This window comes from Homo sapiens, chromosome 2, assembly GCF_000001405.40.
Source record: "Homo sapiens chromosome 2, GRCh38.p14 Primary Assembly".
Taxonomy (NCBI): Eukaryota; Metazoa; Chordata; class Mammalia; order Primates; family Hominidae; genus Homo; species Homo sapiens.
The window spans coordinates 175783353-175802744 of record NC_000002.12 but is presented as its reverse complement, the minus strand read 5'-3'; the positions used below and the strand labels follow the sequence as shown (position 1 = coordinate 175802744).

The following is a 19392-nucleotide window of genomic DNA, read 5'->3' as shown; positions in this document are numbered from 1 at the left end:
AGATAGGCTTGATTTTGGTTACTTAAATAAATTCAAAGCCCTCGATAATTTCTTTACCTAAACACCATACTGACTCTTCAAGATTGCGGCATTCAAGTTATTTTGCCATCACCATTGCTTTGCCATCACCATTGCTTTGCCATCACCATTTGCCATCACCGTTTTCACACTTTGCCATCATCATTGCCATCACCATAGTAATGTATGAAATTGAGACAGCTCTCTTGGGTCCAGAAATGCAAGCCAGGTGTAGAGGACAATAGAACTACCCTACCAGCTTCTGGACCATTATTACATTAGAAGTAGTTAAACTTCTAATTTAAGTGACTCCAATTTGTGGGATTCTGATAGAGCACCTTAGCCTGCACACTAACTGATAAAATTCATGAGAAAACAGAGTAGAAAAAAACTATCATATGGATTGTGCAGTGTTTAATTGAAGGCATATGGGTGTCTGTGGCAGGGGAGTGGGGTTCAGGATATCCACTTCAGGATTATATACCGAACTAGTGAGGATCTGTCCTTTAATACATTGCTAAGCTTGTTTCTCATTGTCTCCTGGTTTAGAAAGGGTGAGCTGTTGGGAGGCCTTCAAAATCTGCAGCTGAGCAGTCAAAGATTGACACTGGTGCCAACTTGTACATTGTGTGGTGACATCATACAACTTCATGTCTTGGTCCTATCTTCCCAGCTAAATTGGGGTTCCCCAAGTGGAGGTTCTGCATCTGTCACTTCAGTATCACGTATAGTGTCAAGCATGTGTTTTCCATTTTGCAGTGGCTCAGTAAGTCACGGCTTGTTGAATTACTGAAGTGGATGACACACACATTAGAGCAAGAGTTAAAGAATTATAAATACTCAAGCACAACTAATATCTGTGCTGAAAAGAAACAACTTGCAAGATCTTCTGTTTTGACCTTGATTTTGTAGATGAGGAAACTGAAGTCCAAAGAGGTGACGTGATTCATCCAAGGTCAGGCAGTTAGGGGTAAACCCAGCACTAATACCCAAACCTTCTGTTTTATAAGGATTACTGCTCTAACTGTGGTTCCATTAAGAATCTGTTTGTGGGCTAATTAGTAGATATAGGACTAGCCTGTTCTGCCCTTCACCTTTAAAGCAGGGGTCCCCAACCCCTGGGCCACAGACCGGTACTGGTCCACAGCCTATTAGGAACCGGGTCGCAGAGCAGGAGGGGAGTGGCGGGCAAGAGAGCATTCCCGCCTGAGCTCCACCTCCTGTCACTTCAGTAGCCACATTAGATTCTCATAGGAGCACCAACCCTATTGTAAACTACGCATGCGAGAGATCTAGGTTGCACGCTTCTTATGAGAATTTAATTAATGTCTGATGATCTGAAGTGGAATAGTTTCATCCCAAAATATTCCCCACCCCCGACCCACCCTGATCCATAGAAAAATTGTCTTCCACAAAACCAGTCCCTGGTGCCAGATAGGTTGCAGATTGCTGCTTTAAAGGGTCATAAGAAATAATCTAAAAGGAAAAGATATCTAAAAGGAATTTCATTTTAAAGTTTTAAGCAAAAGAAAGTAATTTTTCCAGAGTAGTTATAAGTTGGTAAAATCAGAAGTATTATTTGGAAAATACCTTTTAAAAAATTTTGAAAGCGGTATTAGCTGATAGGTTCTTGCCTTATACTTAACTGGATGTTTAGGAAGAGAATCTATAACTCTAAGAAATATCCTAAGGCAAAAGGGACTTTCTGTAAATCTTAGTATTTCAATGCTGATGTTAAAGGGTGTGAAGTATGTAGGTAATATTTAGTGATGGGAGAGTGTCAGTGGAACTCAAAATCAAAATATTCAAGATAAAGTTTACTGATGGACTAGTCACGGGATAGAGGGCTGGACTGTATCATTTCAAACACCTTGGGAGTACTAGATAATATCAGTTCCAATCATACTGAAAGTCTCCCACTTAATGTGAAGCTATCATTTAGAACTATGCATTTCACAATCTATCCTGTTGTCTATTTAGTGGATTTTGTCATCTGGAAAGTATCCCACTGCATTAAGAAAATCTAATGATTTCTAATGACTGGCCGGGAGCAGTGGCTCACACCTGTAATCCCAGCAGTTTGGGAGGCCGAGGCGGGTGGATCATGAGGTCAGGAGTTCAAGACCAGCCTGGCCAAGATGGTGAAACCCCGTCTCTACTAAAAATACAAAAATTAGCTGGGTGTGGTGGGGGGCACCTGTAATCCCAGCTACTCAGGAGGCTGAGGCCAGAGAATCGCTTGAACCCAGAAGGCAGAGGTTGTAGTGAGCATGCCACTGCACTCTACCCTGAGTGACAGAGCAAGACTCCATCTCAAAAAACAAAAACAAAAACAAACAAAGAAAAAAACAATGAACTGTTCCTTGGATAAATTACCTTTTCACGGATTCTTGAGAATTGCCTTTGGGCCTTTATTTCTCAGATCTGCTTTACTTACATCAATATTGAAATGAGTCCCAAAGCTTGATAGGCATGCAGTTTACAATGAAAGAAAATATTAAACACGGAATCTTTCCAGCAAAGAGGTCGGTGGAGTGGTGGCACGGGGAGGCAGGGCTGAGGAAAGATTACTAGTGGGCATTGGAAACTTTAAACTTCAACCACTTGGTAAGGAAAAGCATATTCTGTCAGTCAAGTTTCAACAAAATTAGCTACCTTTTGACGATGATTTTAACAGATATAAGCATTTCTAAATAAAATCTAATTATGTGAATGTTAAAGCTTCTTCTCATTTGCTCTCTCATTCCATCAATAAACCTTGGTCTAGTCTTTACTGCATTTGGCCAAAGGCTATTGCAAGACTTACCGAGTATTGAGCAAATCTAGTTTGATCTTCAGAATAAATTCATTTACAATTTTAAAAATTGTAGTTGTATAATATATAGTCATGCATCGCATAATGATGTGTTGGTCAATGTTAGACCACATATATGAGGGTGGTCTTGTAAGACTGTAATACTGTATTTTCACTGCACATTTTCTGTTCATTGTGTTAGAATTGTCTACAGTATTCAGTGTGGTAACATGCTGTGCAGGTTTGTAGCCTAGGAGCAACTGGCTATATCTTATAGTGTAGGTGTGTAGTAGGCTGTACCATCTAGGTTCGTGTAAGTACACTATATGAGGTTCACACAATGACAAAATCACCTAACTACACATTTCTCAGAACATGTCATTGTTAGGTAATGCGAGACTGTATTTCAAGAACACCCACTAATGGGTTAAACAGGGTATGGGTTTTGGTTTTAACTAGCATTTGGTTTTAACGACATTGGCCAAGGGTCTTAGCAAACATGGGTTAACAAAGACTTGAGAACTCCCAATGGCAGAGGGATCATTTACAGCAGGGAAGAAGATTTGCTTTTCTTTCTCTTCCTGTGGACTGATCCCATCCTGGCTGCCAGTGTATGTCAGCAAGTTCACAGCCCTTAATTCACTGTAAGCCTCAAGTTATTGCACACCAGCACACTTCCGAGAGGAGAGATGTCATAGAAATCCAAGTTGCCTAGTGGTATACCAGTATTAATCAAACCTTGTAGCAGTACTGCCCCATAGAAATTGGAATGCTTGATGCTACCAAGATGCTTGGCATTTCTATAGTGACGTTTCCTGGATCATCTGATCCAGGGCACTCTGCAGGACATCCTTTTTCGCAAAGGTTTGTCTTATGGGTAAAATTAGAATAATGGTGTCAGTTTCTGAGTATCACTACAGCTGGATTCTCAGTGTTGTGCTATATATGGTAAGGCAAGCCCCAAAGTGGCTCAGAGGACCCAGGTCTACGGGTGTGAACCAGTGAAGACTTTGGGGTTCTATCACCTAAGTTGAAGGTCATGCAGGAGATATCTCATTTGCCTTTTCAGGATGGATCCCAATTGTTGGCTTCTGGGTGATCAGGAGAACAGTGGATTTTTATGCTTTGTCCTCTAACTCATTTTCCTCTTCCTTCATTCCTAGGGAGAGGCGTAACAAACCTTCTCAGAACCTAGTGATATAGAATAACCATTTTATTATGCTCATGGATTCTGTGAGTCAAGAATTCAGAAAAGGCAAAGGGCTCTTCTCTGTTTCATAACATCTGAGATGTCTCTTATAATTAGGTGTATCTCAAATTGCTGGGGATGGAATAGTTAGGGCTGGGGGATCTACTTCCAAGATGACTTTTTTACTCATATGTTTGGCATCTGATTGGGGTGACTGAAGAATGGGCTTAGCTGGGACTACTGACCTGAGCATCTCCATGTGACCATTTCTATTAGTCTGTTTTCATGCTGCTGATAAAGACATACCCAAGATTGGGGAATTTACAAAAGAAAGAGGTTTAATGGACTCACAGTTCCACATGACTGGGGAGGCCTCACAATCATGGTGGAAGGTGAAAGCCACATCTCACATGGTGGCAGACAAGGCAAGAGAGCTTTTACAGGGAAACTCCCCTTTTTAAAACCATCAGATCTTGTGAGACTTATTCACTATTGTGAGACAGCATGAGAAAGACCTGTCCCCATGATTCAATCACCTCCCACTGGGTCCCTCACACAATATATGGGAATTCAAGATGAGACTTGGGTGCAGACACAGTCAAGCCATATCCTTCGATACCTGGCCCCTCCCAAATCTCATGTCCTCACATTTGAAAACCAATCATGCCTTCTCAACAGTCCCCCAAAATCTTAACTCATTTCAGCATTAACTCAAAAGTCCACTGTCCAAAGTCTCAGCTGAGACAAGGCAATTTCCTTCCACCTACGAGCCTGCAAAATCAAAAGCAAGTTAGTCACTTCCTAGATACAATGGGGATACAGGCATTGGGTAAATACAGCCATTCCAAATGGGAGAAATTGGCCAAAACAAAGGGGCTACAGGCCCCATGCAAGTCCAAAAGCCAGCAGGGCAGTCAAATCTTAAAGCTCCAAAATGATCTCCTTTGACTCCATGTCTCACATCTAGGTCATGCTGATGCAAAAGGTGGCCTCCCGTGGCCTTGGGCACCTCTGCACCTGTGGCTTTGTGGGGTATAGTCCCTTTCCTGGCTGCTTTCATGGGCTGGCATTGAGTGTCTGTGGCTTTACCAGGCACACGGTTCAAGCTGTTGGTGGATCTCCCATTCTGGGGTCTTGAGAGCAGTGGTCCTCTTCTCACAGCTCCACTAGGCAGTACCCCAGCAGGGACTCTGTGTGGGGGCTCCAACCTCACATTTCCCTTCCGCACTGCTGGAGCAGAAGTTTTCATGAGGGCACTGCCCCTGCGTTTCCATACATCCTCTGAAATCTAGGTGGAGGTTCTTGACTTCTGTGCACCCACAGGCTCAACACCACATGGAAGCTGCCAAGGCTTGGGGCTTCAACCCTCTGAAGCAACAGCCTGAGCTGTACCTTGGCCCCTTTTAGTCATGGCTGGGACACAGGGCACCAAGTCCCTAGACTGCACACAGCAGAGGGACGCTGGGCCCGGCCCACAAAACTATTATTTCCTCCTAAACCTCTGGGCCTGCGATGCAAGGGCCTTCCGTAAAGGTTTCTGACATGCCCTGGAGACATTTTCCCCATCGTCTTGGCGATTAACATTCAGCTCCTTGTTACTTACGCAACTTTCTGCAGCCAGCTTGAATTTCTCCTCAGAAAATGGGATTTTTTTTTTCTATCGCATTGTCAGGCTGCAAATTTTTCCAAACTTTTTTTCTCTGTTTCCCTTTTAAAATGGCATGCCTTAACAGTGCGCAAGTCATCTCTTGAATGCTTTGCTGCTTAGAAATTTCTTCTGTCAGATACCCTAAGTCATCTCTCTCAAGTTCAAAGTTTCACAAATCTCCAGGGCAGGAGCAAAATGCCACCAGTGTCTTTGCCAAAACATAACAAGAGTCACTTTTGCTCCAGTTCCCAACAAGTTCCTCATCTCCATCTGAAATCACCTCAGCCTGGATTTCATTGTCCATATCACTATTAGCATTTTGGTCAAAGCCATACAATAAGTCTCTAGGAAGTTCCAAACTTTCCCACATTTTTCTGTCTTCTTCTGAGCCCTCCAAACTGTTCCAATCTCTACCTGTTACCAAGTTCCAAAGTTGCTTTCACCTTTTTGGGTATCTTTTCAGTAGCACCCCACTCCCGGTACCAATTTACTGTATTAGTTCATTTTCATGCTGCTGATAAAGACATATCTGAGACTGGGAAATTTACAAAAGAAAGAGTTTTAACGGACTCACAGTTCCACATGACTGAGGAGGCCTCACAATCATGGCAGAGGGTGAAAGGCACATCTCATATGGTGGCAGACAAGAGAAGAGAGCTTGTGCAGGGAAACTCCCTTTTTTAAAACCATCAGATCTTGTGAGACTTATGCACTATCAGGAGAACAGCATGGGAAAGACCTGTCCCCATGATTCAATTACCTCCTACCGGTCCCTCCCACAATATGTGGGAATTCAAGATGAGACTTGAGTGGGGACACAGCCAAACCATATCACCACTCCAGCATGGTGGGCCCAGGGTAGCCGGACTTCAAACATGGTGGCTTAGGGTTCCATGTGTGAAAGTTCCAGCTAACAGCATAAAAGCAGCATGACCTTTTATGACCCAGCCTGTGAAGTAACTAACACCACTTGTGGCATACTTTATGTGTCAAAACAGACACAAGGCCAGGCACCATGGCTCACGCCTGTAATCCCAGCCCTTTGGGAGGCCGAGATGGGCAGATCACGAGGTCAGGAGTTTGAGACTAACCTAGCCAGCAAGGTGAAACCCTGTCTGTACTAAAAATACAAAAATGAGCCGGGTGTGGTGGCGTGTGCTTGCAGTCTCAGCTACTTGGGAGGCTGAGGCAAGAGAATTGCTTGACCCCGGGATGCAGAGGTTGCAGTGCACTGAGGTCGCACCACTGCACTCCAGCCTGGGTGACAGAGCGAGACTCCATCTAAAAAAAACCCAGACACAAGCCTGCCCTGACTCAAGGAGAAGGAACATAGATCCCATCTCTCAATGGGAGGAATGTCAAATAATTTGCAGCCATGTTTTAAAGTCTCCACAAGAGGTTTCATGGGGTTTTGGGAAAGTTCCAAGCACCTATGATGGCTGTGAATTAGAGCAGCCCATTGATGAACTATTTTCTCTCTGATCCTATGCTAAGATAGGGGACTGCTCCCCTGTACTAGTCAGTACTAGTATTGAGTTGCTGAAACAGAGAAACCCTAGAACACAGTGACTCAGATAACGAAAATTTGTTCTTCTCTCATGTAACAGTCCAGAGGTAGGTAGTGGGATCCAGGGTAGTTAGGCAGCTCTACTCCATAAGAACATTCAGGGATTCAGATACTCTTCATCTTATTGTTTCACCAGTCCCCAGGGCACTGTCCTCATCCATATTGCCAAAGATGGTTTAACATCACCAGGTTTGAATTCTAGCATGTGCAAAGGGACCAGAGGAAATGGAAGGTAAGCAATTTCCTTTTAAGGAAGTGACATAGAGTTGCACACATCACTTCTAGTCACAATCCACTGGCAATAGCTTGGGAACATGAGTAAACCTAGCTGCAAGGGGGGCTGACAAATGTAGTCTGTAGCTGTGTGTTCATGAGCCCTTATAAAACATATTTATGCATGGGGTCCTGTTACTAAAAGGAAGAAAAAGACAATAGATCCTGGGGGACAATTAGTAGTTTCTGCTGCTGGCTTTTGAAACATCCTTGGAATATTTGCCAGGGTTGGGGCTCAGAACATGATACCTCAATGTACAGAACTTTGGCATGCTGAATATTTTAAACTGAAGGACATTGGAAGGTCTCAGAAGCAAGTTCTGACCTTCTCCTGCCCTCCTGTCTCCTGCCCCTTTTTCTCCCCTGGAAGTGATGAGTAAAAACCAGAATTCCTCTTCCCTGAGACAGGTCATAGAAATTAGAACCCTTTTCCCCAAAGCAAGCCATAAAACCTAGAAAGGTCACTCTTACCCTTTTCCCATTCCAGTGGGGTCCTGCCACAGGCCTGGGGGGAAGACTTGCTACACAGAGAGGCCACAAAGAATCTAGAAGACAGACTTTCCTGGGTGTTCTTCCCCAGTTTATTACTATTAGGTTATATCCTTTTGTCCAATTACATTTCTACACCCTGTCAATTTTTTATTGAACCTAAGCAAAAACATGGACAGTTTCCCTGCCTCTTTGGATTTTCATGTCTGAAGCCTCCCATGTCACATAAAACTTTGATTAAATAAACTTGTTACATTTTTCTCTTGTTAACCTGTCTTTTGTGATAGGAATGGAGCCATTTCCACCCCTACACCAGGCATATTCAGGAACATGGGTTGGTACACTTTTCTTGTAAAGGGGTAAAGAATAAATATTTTAGGCTTCAGGGCCACATACTTTCATCTATGTTAGTTTTCTATTGCTGCTTTAACAAATTATCAACACAGTTAGTGACTTAAAACAACAGAAATTTACCTTACAGTTCTTTAGAACAGAGTCAACATGGGTCTCAGTGGGCTTAAATCAAGGCTGCTGTCCTTCCTGGAGGCTCTAGGGAGGATGCATTTTCTTGCTGGAGTAGTTGGCAAAACTCAGTTTCTTGCACGCAGCCTCCTACATCTTGGGACCAGCATTAGGACATCAAATCCTTCTCATTCTGCCATCTGTCTCGTGGGCCAGAGCTGGAGAAAGGTCCTCTGCTTTTAAAGACTCATGTAATTAGTTTGGGTCATGTGAAATTACATATCCACGAGTTCCAGGTATTAGGGAGTGAGCAGTTTTGGGGGATCATTATTCTGCCTACCACACAGCTTCAGTACTCAACTCAGCCATTGCAGCTCAAAAGTAACCATAGATAATATGTACATGATCGGGCGTGGCTGTGTTGCAATAAAGCTTTATTTATGAAAACAAGAAGTGGCTTGGATTTGGCCTGTGCATCACAGTTTGCCAACCCCCTCTCAAGAGTGTGAAAACCAGTTGCTGACTTTTGGCTCCCAGGCAGACAGAAGTCTCTCCTTTCCCCACCCTCCTGGCAGTTAGGCATGGTCTCCTCTATGTTATCAGCACACCAGCCACTTGCTTCTGTTAAAGTCCCCTTTTCATAGAATCATAATTACTTTCTTTAGTATTTGTTTTTTCCCCCAGATTATGGGCACATTGAATGCAGGCACCTGGTCTGATTCGTCTTTGTACCTTCTCTAGTGTTTAACAGCATCCAGTGCTTAGGAGGTGCTCAGTAAATGTTCATTTAGTAAAGGAAACCTTATGTAGCAGTCAAACTGAGGGAGGCATGAGTTGAAAGACACACATTTTTGTGTGTTGGGGGAAGTATGTTTTCTCTAGGCAGACCTTCAATTTTGATAAGATTTGACTGTTTTGATTTCCATCTGCAGGATAAGCCTGACATCTGTGAGTTTCCCTAAGAGTTTGTGAAGGCAGATCTTTAAGAAAGTTTAAAACCAATTCTTTGTTGCCCTACTAAAAATTAAAGGGCAAAGCCAGAATTATACATTAGCTGGTGAGGCCAGTAATATGCATTTGACAGACATTTAATTTCTGCCTGCTTGTGCCAAAATAACAATGTGACCATAAGGAAATTTGCAAATGGAAATAATATTTTCCTGAGTGTTTTCCCAGACATTAGAACTTCAGTGTGGGTTGAAAAGTGCACAGAAAGGTTTTTGACCTGCCAAGGCATGAGTTCAGCTGTTGTAGGATAAACACATAACTCTGATGACATTAACAACATCTGAGGCTCAAGTGGGCCAGGAATCCATCTCTACCTTATTTATGTGAAATGTTCTCACACTTACAGCCTCTAGTCAAAATAATAACTTTATAGGTGCATGGGTATTTGGAGTCTTTAACTGAAAGGTATTTTATGTATAAAGTATTATAAGAACGACCCCTTTTATCCCAGATGTTCAATGAAATTAAGATACACAGAGGGCATTTTATCCAACAACCAAGGACCAGTCTTAGGTTGGGATCCAGAATGGATGCTTATTAAGTTATACAACTATGTAAGACATGGCCATAAGGCTGCGCCACCCAGTTGAAATTGGCTCAAGTCTCTTAGGTAGATGGAAGAAAAAAAAGCTTCAACTCTTTGTAAGTATGTCATGCATTTAAAGAGCACTCTTACGCTTATATTTCCACTTAAAGGCAGTAGGTCTAGAAATCCCCAAAGTCTCTCCCAGTCTAAGAGAACCTTTTGAATACACTACCTTCATACTTTTTGGTTTCCTGGCTTCTATCAAACAAATCTCTTGCTCTTAAAGTATTGTCAGCTGCATAGTCAGCATGTCCATTGAGTCATTGCACTTGCTAATAAAAATGCTAAGATATCAGACCAAGGACTAGTGTTCTGGGAATGCCCTTATGCTGACATCAAGCCACTAAAATTACTCTTTGGAGCCTAGCCCTACAACCAACAATAGGGTCCGGCCTGTGTTGTAAAAGCTGTTAAGCAAAAATTGTCAGCCCCGCTGAAGTCGACGTATATTGTTTCTGTTGCTCTCTCCGCTTTTCTTCCTAATCTGTTAGTATGATTTGTACAGAAAATGAAAGCCAATGCTCTTAAAAAAACAAAAAAAGCCAAAGCCCCATCTGATAGGATTTAACCTTCCCAACACTTTATTAGCTACCAGCCTGCCCCTTTACTCTTTCTGGGAATTTGGCATAGAATTGATACTTTCTCTGGTGTAGCTCAGCTATGTGATTTGCAGGACATGCTATACACATGCCATACCATCCTCTCTCCCTTGTTCTCCCACTGTCTAGAAATTCTCACCTATCACTAGTTAGACCTGGATGTTACGGTCAGCAATATTTTGAAGCCCTGTGTTAGGTATTGGTGGGCCACGTTGATTTTAAAAACACTTGGCTTTTCAAGAATATCTTCCAATCGTTTCTTTACCAATTTTAGTTCAATGTTTCACTTTCCTGTGGCAAGCTTTGCACTTTATTTCTTTTCTTTTCTTTCTTTCTTCCTTTTGAGACAGGGCCTCACTGTGTCACCCAGACTGGACTGCGGTGGCATGATTATAGCTCACTGCATCTTCAAACTCCCTGGCTCAAGCAATCCTCCCACTGCAGCCTCCCAAGTAGCTGGGACTACAGGCACATGCCACCATATCTGGATATTAAAAAAGTTTTTTTTTTGTAGACATTGGCCTCACTGTATTGCCCAGGCTGGTCTCAAACTCCTGAGCTCAAGTGATCCTCCTGCCTTGGCCTCCCAAAATGCTGGGATTACAGGTATGAGCCACCACGCCCAGTCTACATTTTCTTATTTGTGTAATCTTAGGTGATTTTTGTAAAATAAATGCAAGTAAAAAAAGAGATCTATTGGGTTCTGTCTTTGTAAGGTCATTTATTGTTATGGGCTGAATTGCATTCTCCCAAAATTCATATGTTACAGTCCTAACTCCTAGTACCTCAGACCTTGACTGTATTTGTCAATAGGCCTTTAAAGAGGTAATTAAAGTAAAGTAACCCTAAAAGTTATTAGGGTGGGGTGTGTATCTGAGTGATGTCTTTGAAGGAAGCAATTAGGATTAGGACACAGGCAACACAGAAAACCATGTGAGGACACGGCCAGAAGGTGACCATCTGCAAGCCAAGGGGCGAGGCCTCAGAAGAAACCAACCCTGCTGAGGCCTTGATCCTAGACTACTAGCCCCTAGAACTATGAGGAAATAAAATTCTGTTGTTTAAGCCACTCAGTCTGTGGTATTTGTTATGGCAGCCCTAACAAACTAATACATTCACTATCAATTTTGTTCTTTTCTCCTAGTCAACTTTGATTATTCTTTTTTTTTTTTTTTTAATGGAGTGTTGCTCTGTCACCCAGGCTGGAGTGCAGTGGCATGATTATAGCTCACTGCATCTTCAACCTCCCTGGGCTCAAGCAATCCTCCCACTGCAGTCTCCCAAGTAGCTGGGACCACAGGTGCGATCCACCACACCCACTAATTTTTTGTTTTTCTTTCTTAGCAGAGATGGGGTTTCACTGTGTTAGCCAGGATGGTCTTGATCTCCTGACCTCGTGATCCACCCACCTTGGCCTCCCAAAGTGTTGGGGTTACAGGCATGAGTCACCGTGTCCAGCCTGATTGTGCTTTTAATATTCACAGGACACATTTAAAGAGATCTGGGCAGCATGTTTTGATCTGTAGGCCACAAGGAAGTGAGGTGATCCAGTGTCATTCCTGCATAACTTGGTTTTTAACAGTGGCCAGCAGAGTGACCGGACAACCTCTGTCATTACCAGTGGCCTTATACGTACAATGACCTTGAGCAAACTAAAGAAGATTTTATTTGGTGTGGCTTTTCTGGACAATAAGTTTTGCAGAATGGGTTTCGAAAGTGCTATCCTAGGACACAAGTCTAAATCAGGAGGCTCAAGGTCCATATTTTGCAACAGACACTTTTGGGCCACAGAGTTTTAAAAACAAATTCAGCCACTTAAAAATCCAAATTTTCTTCTGCTCTTAAAAATTTGAAATGTCTATCCTGCTTTTCTGTGATCAAAACCGAGTCAGAACTGCCCCTGTTAGTTGGATACTACTCTTTGGTGTGCCCTATCCCCGACCCCTACTGAACCACTTCCTATTGTCATTTATGCCTGTCTATTTCACTTATTACTCAAGCCCCCTGGCCCAGATAATGAAAATAAACAGGTTAGTGGTTCCTAGATTGCCATTGCTAAAAGATGCTCATTAAGAAAAGAGGGTTGAGAGGTGAAAATACTTGGGAAACTCAGTGGCCTGTATATATACTTTCTTGGAGATTTTCCACGTGCATGAATATATGAAAAGATCTGAGAAGTTCTGCAATGGAGAAATCCATTTAACTTTGTTTCCCAGTCTTTCTCCTTCCTATCTGACTAGGAAGTGCCATTTATTTGAGTAACATACATTTGACATCCTGTGGAAACAGTGTTTCAGGGGACACACTTTGGAAAATGCTGAAATGGATTCTCGTAGTCATAGACAGAAGAATGAATCGGAGAGTTAGAATTCTGTAAATACTAAATAATTTTCATATTCATAAAGAATGTTTGTGAAATAAATGTAAATGAAGTAAATGTAAAGTCATTTTATTACAGATTAATATTACTTTTGTGATGTTATTTGATGTACCACAAAAGACAACAAACCACCAGATGCATGACCAATGTTAACTACTATGGGAAAGTCTTTATAAAATTGAAATATTTTACTCATTGTGAAAGAGAAATAGATTTTAGCTTTGAGAGAACTGTATTCCAATTACTTTTATTGTGCTCCAGTGTCTTTGTTATTGCACCACAATAACCGCATCACACTCTTCATATTTCAGGTTAATGAACTGATTGGACTGTAAACATTTTGTTAGACAAACTTACACCCATTATACTTGCAGTCATTTAAAACAGGGAGTATGTACAAATGAAGCCAGATATCCTCTTGTATTAGCTATTTTATTAGAGTAATAATGTGCAAATCCTGACTTCCATGTTCAACTAAATGATTTCAAACAGTTTTTGACACGTAAATTCATGGCTCGTCTACGTGCTTCCACTGAGTTTGGCAAAAGTGAATTGGTCTATTTGAGTTATCCTCCTTTGATTTCTCCAAGAAAATCAATATAATAAAGTAATTCTTTCCTGCCATCCTCTTCTTTGCTAAGCTCTTCTGAGAACAGTCAGAAGGTGCTTTTCCTTCAATTATTTCAGGCTTGTTTGCATTAAATCCTTTCCAACAGGTGCCAGTAAATGTGTTCCCTTAATAAGGATGTCTCCCTTTGAAATAAGCTAAATAAAATTTTACATTTAAGGTGAGTAAGAACCAGTTATGGAGAAAATTGTTCAATATCTATTCCATTCTAATTTCTTTTTCCATACAAAGCAGCTGCAGCTCTATATTGAGGAACAAGTGTGATGATGTGGCATGCATAATTCATGCCTCTGGCCTTCTCCACACCCTGATTTTTTCTATCAGAATTGTACATATTTAGAGAAGGTCAAAGATTATTCTTTATTTCTATCAGTAAAACGTTTTGAAGGAATATGACATGAAATATGTGGTTATTTTATTCTTCATAAGAATGTTTGTGGTAATCTCATAACACAAGAGTTTTCCTTTAGATACTTTTGATTTTGTTTATTTTGTAAATTTTTGTTTGTTTTCTTTTGTTAGATGGTAGAATCTCAGTTATTTAAGTGGATGGCATTCTTATTTGTAAAGGTGCCTAGAATGAAAACTCACCTGTTTATTAGGAATTAAGGCAAAATCATGCCACTTAGTCCCCAAAGAGTTCATCATTCTGGCACTTCTTACATTGTTCTCCTTTCCAAAACAGTATTTTAATTATAAGAAAAGTACATCAAGTCTTCAGCTACAAAAATCAATTTTCTGTTCTTTTTTCCCAGCTTCATTCTCTTATTTTTATTTTGGCTGTTCTTGTACCTTATTAGTACTGTTGGTCTTCCCCATCTTGATAGCCACAGACATTTTAAGCTCAGTATGTTTATAACTAAATCCATCATTTTTCTCCCCAAACCTGTTTCTACCATGTAATGAGTTGCAGAAGCCAGAAACAAACCCAGCTGCCATCTTTGATTCCTCACACTCCTCTGCTTGGCACACCCAGACAATAGCCAAGTCCTGCCAATTCTACTTTCTCAATGTCCTTTTAATCTGTCTTCTTTTGCTTACGTATTCCCCATGGCCTCTTCCTGGTTCCAGATGCCATCATTTTTCCCTGGATTGCTGAAGCTTGTCACCCTGCACTCACACACATGTACACACGCGGCGAGCATTGTTCCTGCTCACAAACACACACTCAAAATCTAAGCTGGAATTGTCAGTGTGGTCAGGACTGTAGCATGCCCCCTCTCTGGCATGTTCCCTTGTGTGGCCTTCTCCATTAATCACATGTATTGTCTGAAACGTGAAAGGGCCACTCTCTTAAGGGCTAGGAAGATTGAGAAGTTGTGATTTCTGCCCACAGGTAATGTGAGTAATCCAGTAGAGTTTGTGGTGGGTGTGTGGGATTGGGAGGCAAGACTACTGGGCATGTCTCAGCCACTGTGGCAGTATTTCTGCATTTACAATGGTGCTGGAAGAAAAACCAAAAGGAATTCATAGCCTTAAAAATGTTCCTAATTTGCCACCTACCACACAGTAACATTCTCAGGCATAAATTTTAATCTATAAAATTAGGATTTCAGCAGTAAGCATCGCATTTGATTTCAAGAAATGGCCAAAGGTCAGCCATAATACTAAAATGGTTCCATCTCTGCTCTGACGTCTGGTGATAATAACTTCCTACCTCATTTTGTTTCCTTCTCAAGGTCATGCAGGCACCCACAGCGTAGTTGCATCAGGAGAGGAGGATTCTGGGGTTACTTTGTGCAATTCGCTCCTCGTTGAGAAATCTTTCCAATAACAATGGATATTCTAAGGATCCTGGACATGTAACACGTGCCACCAGGTTTTACATAATATTTCTTCCAGATAGTTTCCAAGTTGTCGGGGAAAGTTGCATATCTACAGAGTTGTCAGCTTACCATGTCCTCCCCTGCACCCTGCCACCCCCTCCTCTGGCCCTCCCTGTCCATTCTGTGCTCAGGACTCCGGGAGTGAAACAGCAGTATTCCCATTAAATAGGAGAAGATAACTCAGATCAAATCTCCATGGTAAATCGGCTCTCAGCACCTGGTGCAGTTCCTTTAATGAAGCCTTTTTCTCTCCATGATATGAATCCATTAGACACTGAGAAGCTTGAGTATGTAAAATATTTTGTTTATCTGGCCCTTCTCAAAGGTACTGTCTGTCATCATAGATGTCTGCAGTAAATATAGCAACAGAATTAGTGGATGTGTGAGGCGATTAGATTTATGAGGCACTTAAACTGCAAAGCTTCTAATAACCATAATTCCTAACTTCAATCATAATACCAGTATTAGTGTCATGTTTTCTAGAGGATTTTATGTTTCTAAAAATATCTTAATTGTGGTTACCATGTTTACCCTCTAATTCCTTTAATTTGAAAGTGAACAGGCTGCCAGAGACATAGCTAGAGAAAACAGTCCACCCTTCTGTATTGTTTACATGGACAGTGGGGCAAGATGGATTGCCCGTCTTGCATGTTCTGCAATTAAATTAGATAAATTTCCATGGAAAAAGGAGAGTCCATGCTAATAAGGGACAACTGATGACAAACAAAATCAAATGTGGGGATGAGGAATAAAGGGTAGGATCTTTGTCCTCCTCCTCCATCCTCTGCCTCTTGTCCCCAAAGGGACTCTGTCTGAATGCCTCTAACATGATCTCATTCTAATTATTTGGCATCACTTGAAAAACCTTTGAAAAAATGCCAACTATTAGTCGATTCTCCTTTTGACCCAGATCTCAAATGTTAGTTCAGGTGCTTGATATAAGATTCTTGGCCTGTTAAGTCTCTTTTTGACTTTCAGGGATAAAAGGAAGGCAAGTCCTCTTAAGTTTGCTTAGCATACACACACATGCACACACACACACGTTGTTTTCAACAATTGCCAAACTTGAACAGAACAAAATGTATCGGCATTATCCTGTGCAAAATTGATAGCGCAGCTCTTTCAGGTTCACTATAAGAACTGTTTGGGTGCAATGACTATTTTTGCATCTTTTAAGAATTTGGGAGATTTGAAGGGCACCCCAGATTTAGCCATTGAAAGATGATTCCACATAGCCATCACTGAGTTCAAGACCCTGATGGATGACATGGTAGACTCTGGCCAGAGATGGAGAGCCAGGGGTACTTACTCAGTAAATATTTTTCAAAACTTTTTTTCTGAATAGACACAGAATATAAGCTTGTCTTATAACATTCAAATAACAGAGATGTATAAAGTAAATACATAATTTCCTCATCTCAAGATAACCACTGTTAACAGCTTCGTGTATATCATTGCAGGCTCTTTTCCATTCATATTCAAATACATTCTTATTTTACAGAAATGGACCAGTACTACGCATACTGTTTTATGCCTAGCTTTTTCACTTAACAATATATCATGGACACTCTTCAGGAGCAGTAAGTACACATTTATCTCTATCTTTTTAACTCTTTTTTTGGCATTCCGTAGTATGATTGGACCAAAATTTATTTAACTGTTCTCCTACTGAAATGTGTTTAAATAACCTTCAGTTATTTGGTTTTACAAATAATGTTTCTGAGAACATCTTGGTCCATGTATCTTTAGATGCTAATGAGAGTATTTCTGTAAGATAAAATCCTAAAAGTGGGCCGGGCGCGGTGGCTCACGCCTGTAATCCCAGCACTTTGGGAGGCCGAGGCGGGTGGATCATGAGGTCAGGAGATTGAGACCATCCTGGCTAACAAGGTGAAACCCCGTCTCTACTAAAAATACAAAAAATTAGCCGGGCGTGGTGGCGGGCGCCTGTAGTCCCAGCTACTCGGGAGGCTGAGGCAGGAGAATGGCGTGAACCCGGGAAGCGGAGCTTGCAGTGAGCCGAGACTGCGCCACTGCAGTCCGCAGTCCGGCCTGGGCGACAGAGCGAGACTCCGTCTCAAAAAAAAAAAAAAAAAAAAAAAAAAAAAAAAAAAAAATCCTAAAAGTGGTATTAAAATTTTTACATATATTAGCAAACTGATAAATTGATGTGTGTTAGAAAATTGTTTTAAAATTATTCACCTCTTTCTGGTTTTACCAATAATATGTGAAAGTGCTGTTTACCCACACTGCAGTATGAATATCAGCCATTTCATTTAAGTTTAAGCTGTTCCTTCAATATTTGTCAGAGGCTCAGATAAAACTAACTTTTAATTTGTTATTTCTTGGATTAATAATGATCGGTCATCTTTTCATGTAGTTATATATGTTCTTTTTTAAAAAATTCTTTTTTAATTTCCTTTTCTTATTTTCAACTGGAGTTTTTACACCTTCCTTACTAAGCCATACATACTTTTTATATATTGTTTATGCTAGAAGCTGAAAATAATTTTCTAAAATTTTTTTACTCTATGACATATGGTATCATACAGAAGTTCTATATTTTTTGGTAAAATCTATTAATCTTATCCTTTATGGTTTTTTACCTTTGTGTGCTGATAAGAAAAATATCTTCCACTCCAAGATGATAAACATATTCTCCTATATTTACTTCTAGCAGCTATCAGGTTTTTAAAAATATTGAACTCTTTAATAAATCATCATTTTGTCTTGGGGTCTTATGTGAGATAAGAGTCTAACTTATTCCTCTCCAAACGGTTCCTGATGGCCTCCACATCATTTAATGAGTCAGCCCTCCTTGCCTTACTAATTTTTTTTTTTTTTTTTTTTTTTTTTTTGAGACGGAGTCTCGCTCTGTCGCCCAGGCCGGACTGCGGACTGCAGTGGCGCAATCTCGGCTCACTGCAAGCTCCGCTTCCTGGGTTCACGCCATTCTCCTGCCTCAGCCTCCCGAGTAGCTGGGACTACAGGCGCCCGCCACCGCGCCCGGCTAATTTTTTGTATTTTTAGTAGAGACGGGGTTTCACCTTGTTAGCCAGGATGGTCTCGATCTCCTGACCTCATGATCCACCCGCCTCAGCCTCCCAAAGTGCTGGGATTACAGGCGTGAGCCACCGCGCCCGGCTGCCTTACTAATTTTAAGTCGCTAACTACCCATATATTCATGAGCCTGTTTATGTACCTTCTGTTTCATTAATCTATTTATAACAATACTCTGTTGTTTTAGTTAGAGTTGCTTTAAAATATATTTGAATCTGGTAACACAAATTCCCCTCTCAAATTTATTTTACAAAAATTTCTCAGGTATCCTAAGTATTTCCTCTTCCAAATTAACTTTACTATCAATTTGTATGGGTTGATGAAAATTGGAATTTTTTGAGTTTCATTAATGTATACTTTGAGAATTGTCATTTTCTTCTAAGGGCATTTGTCTGTTTTAGTGAGTTTGTAGAGAGCACTAACTGCTCTCCCTAAACGTATGCATAAAAAGAATAGCAAAAATAATGTAGGCTAAGAATGTGGGTTTCGAGAAAGATGATGTTATGATTGGCTAGAAATTGACAGATAAGTCAATGCAATAGTAACACAGGAAGGTGGAAAGGGTATAGATTGGGGGAGGTATGCAGTGAGTGTAGGATGCACGAGTGAAAGTAGAATGAGAGTGTAAAGGGAGGGAAGTGAGAAATAAGATGAGGGAAAGATTATTTGGAGGGTGAAATAAAACCATTGACCTATGGCCAGCTGGGCCATACTGCATACTGGAAGTACTGGAGGGGCTGGAGTGGATTCCACAATCTCATTCATGTTGAGTGGTACTGCAGAGAGCCTGTTGTTGAGCGATGACCAAGTGGCCTTGGGATACAAACCCAGTGGAGGAGGGTAGGTTTGAGAATATGGAGTCCTT

At 41.2% G+C, this 19392-nt stretch overlaps 1 long non-coding RNA gene across 1 annotated transcript in view, besides 1 other annotated feature; it reads left to right on the top strand.

Annotated features, from left to right (window-relative positions):
* The window catches only part of LOC107985962 (uncharacterized), a 243604-nt gene that overhangs the window by 36294 nt on the left and 187918 nt on the right, over positions 1 to 19392 (top strand). The window contains exon 2 of the long non-coding RNA XR_007087312.1: positions 16969 to 17047. This is a non-coding gene — a long non-coding RNA (uncharacterized LOC107985962). The remainder of the gene's footprint in view (positions 1 to 16968; positions 17048 to 19392) is intronic.
* Positions 14505 to 15704: an enhancer, noted in NCBI's record as "CDK7 strongly-dependent group 2 enhancer chr2:176651769-176652968 (GRCh37/hg19 assembly coordinates)". NCBI's record gives its function as "activates an origin of replication core promoter dependent on BRD2, BRD4, P300/CBP, MED14 and CDK7 cofactors, with strong dependence on CDK7, by STARR-seq in HCT116 cells {active_cell/tissue: HCT116}" and the evidence as "EXISTENCE:reporter gene assay evidence [ECO:0000049][PMID:35650434]".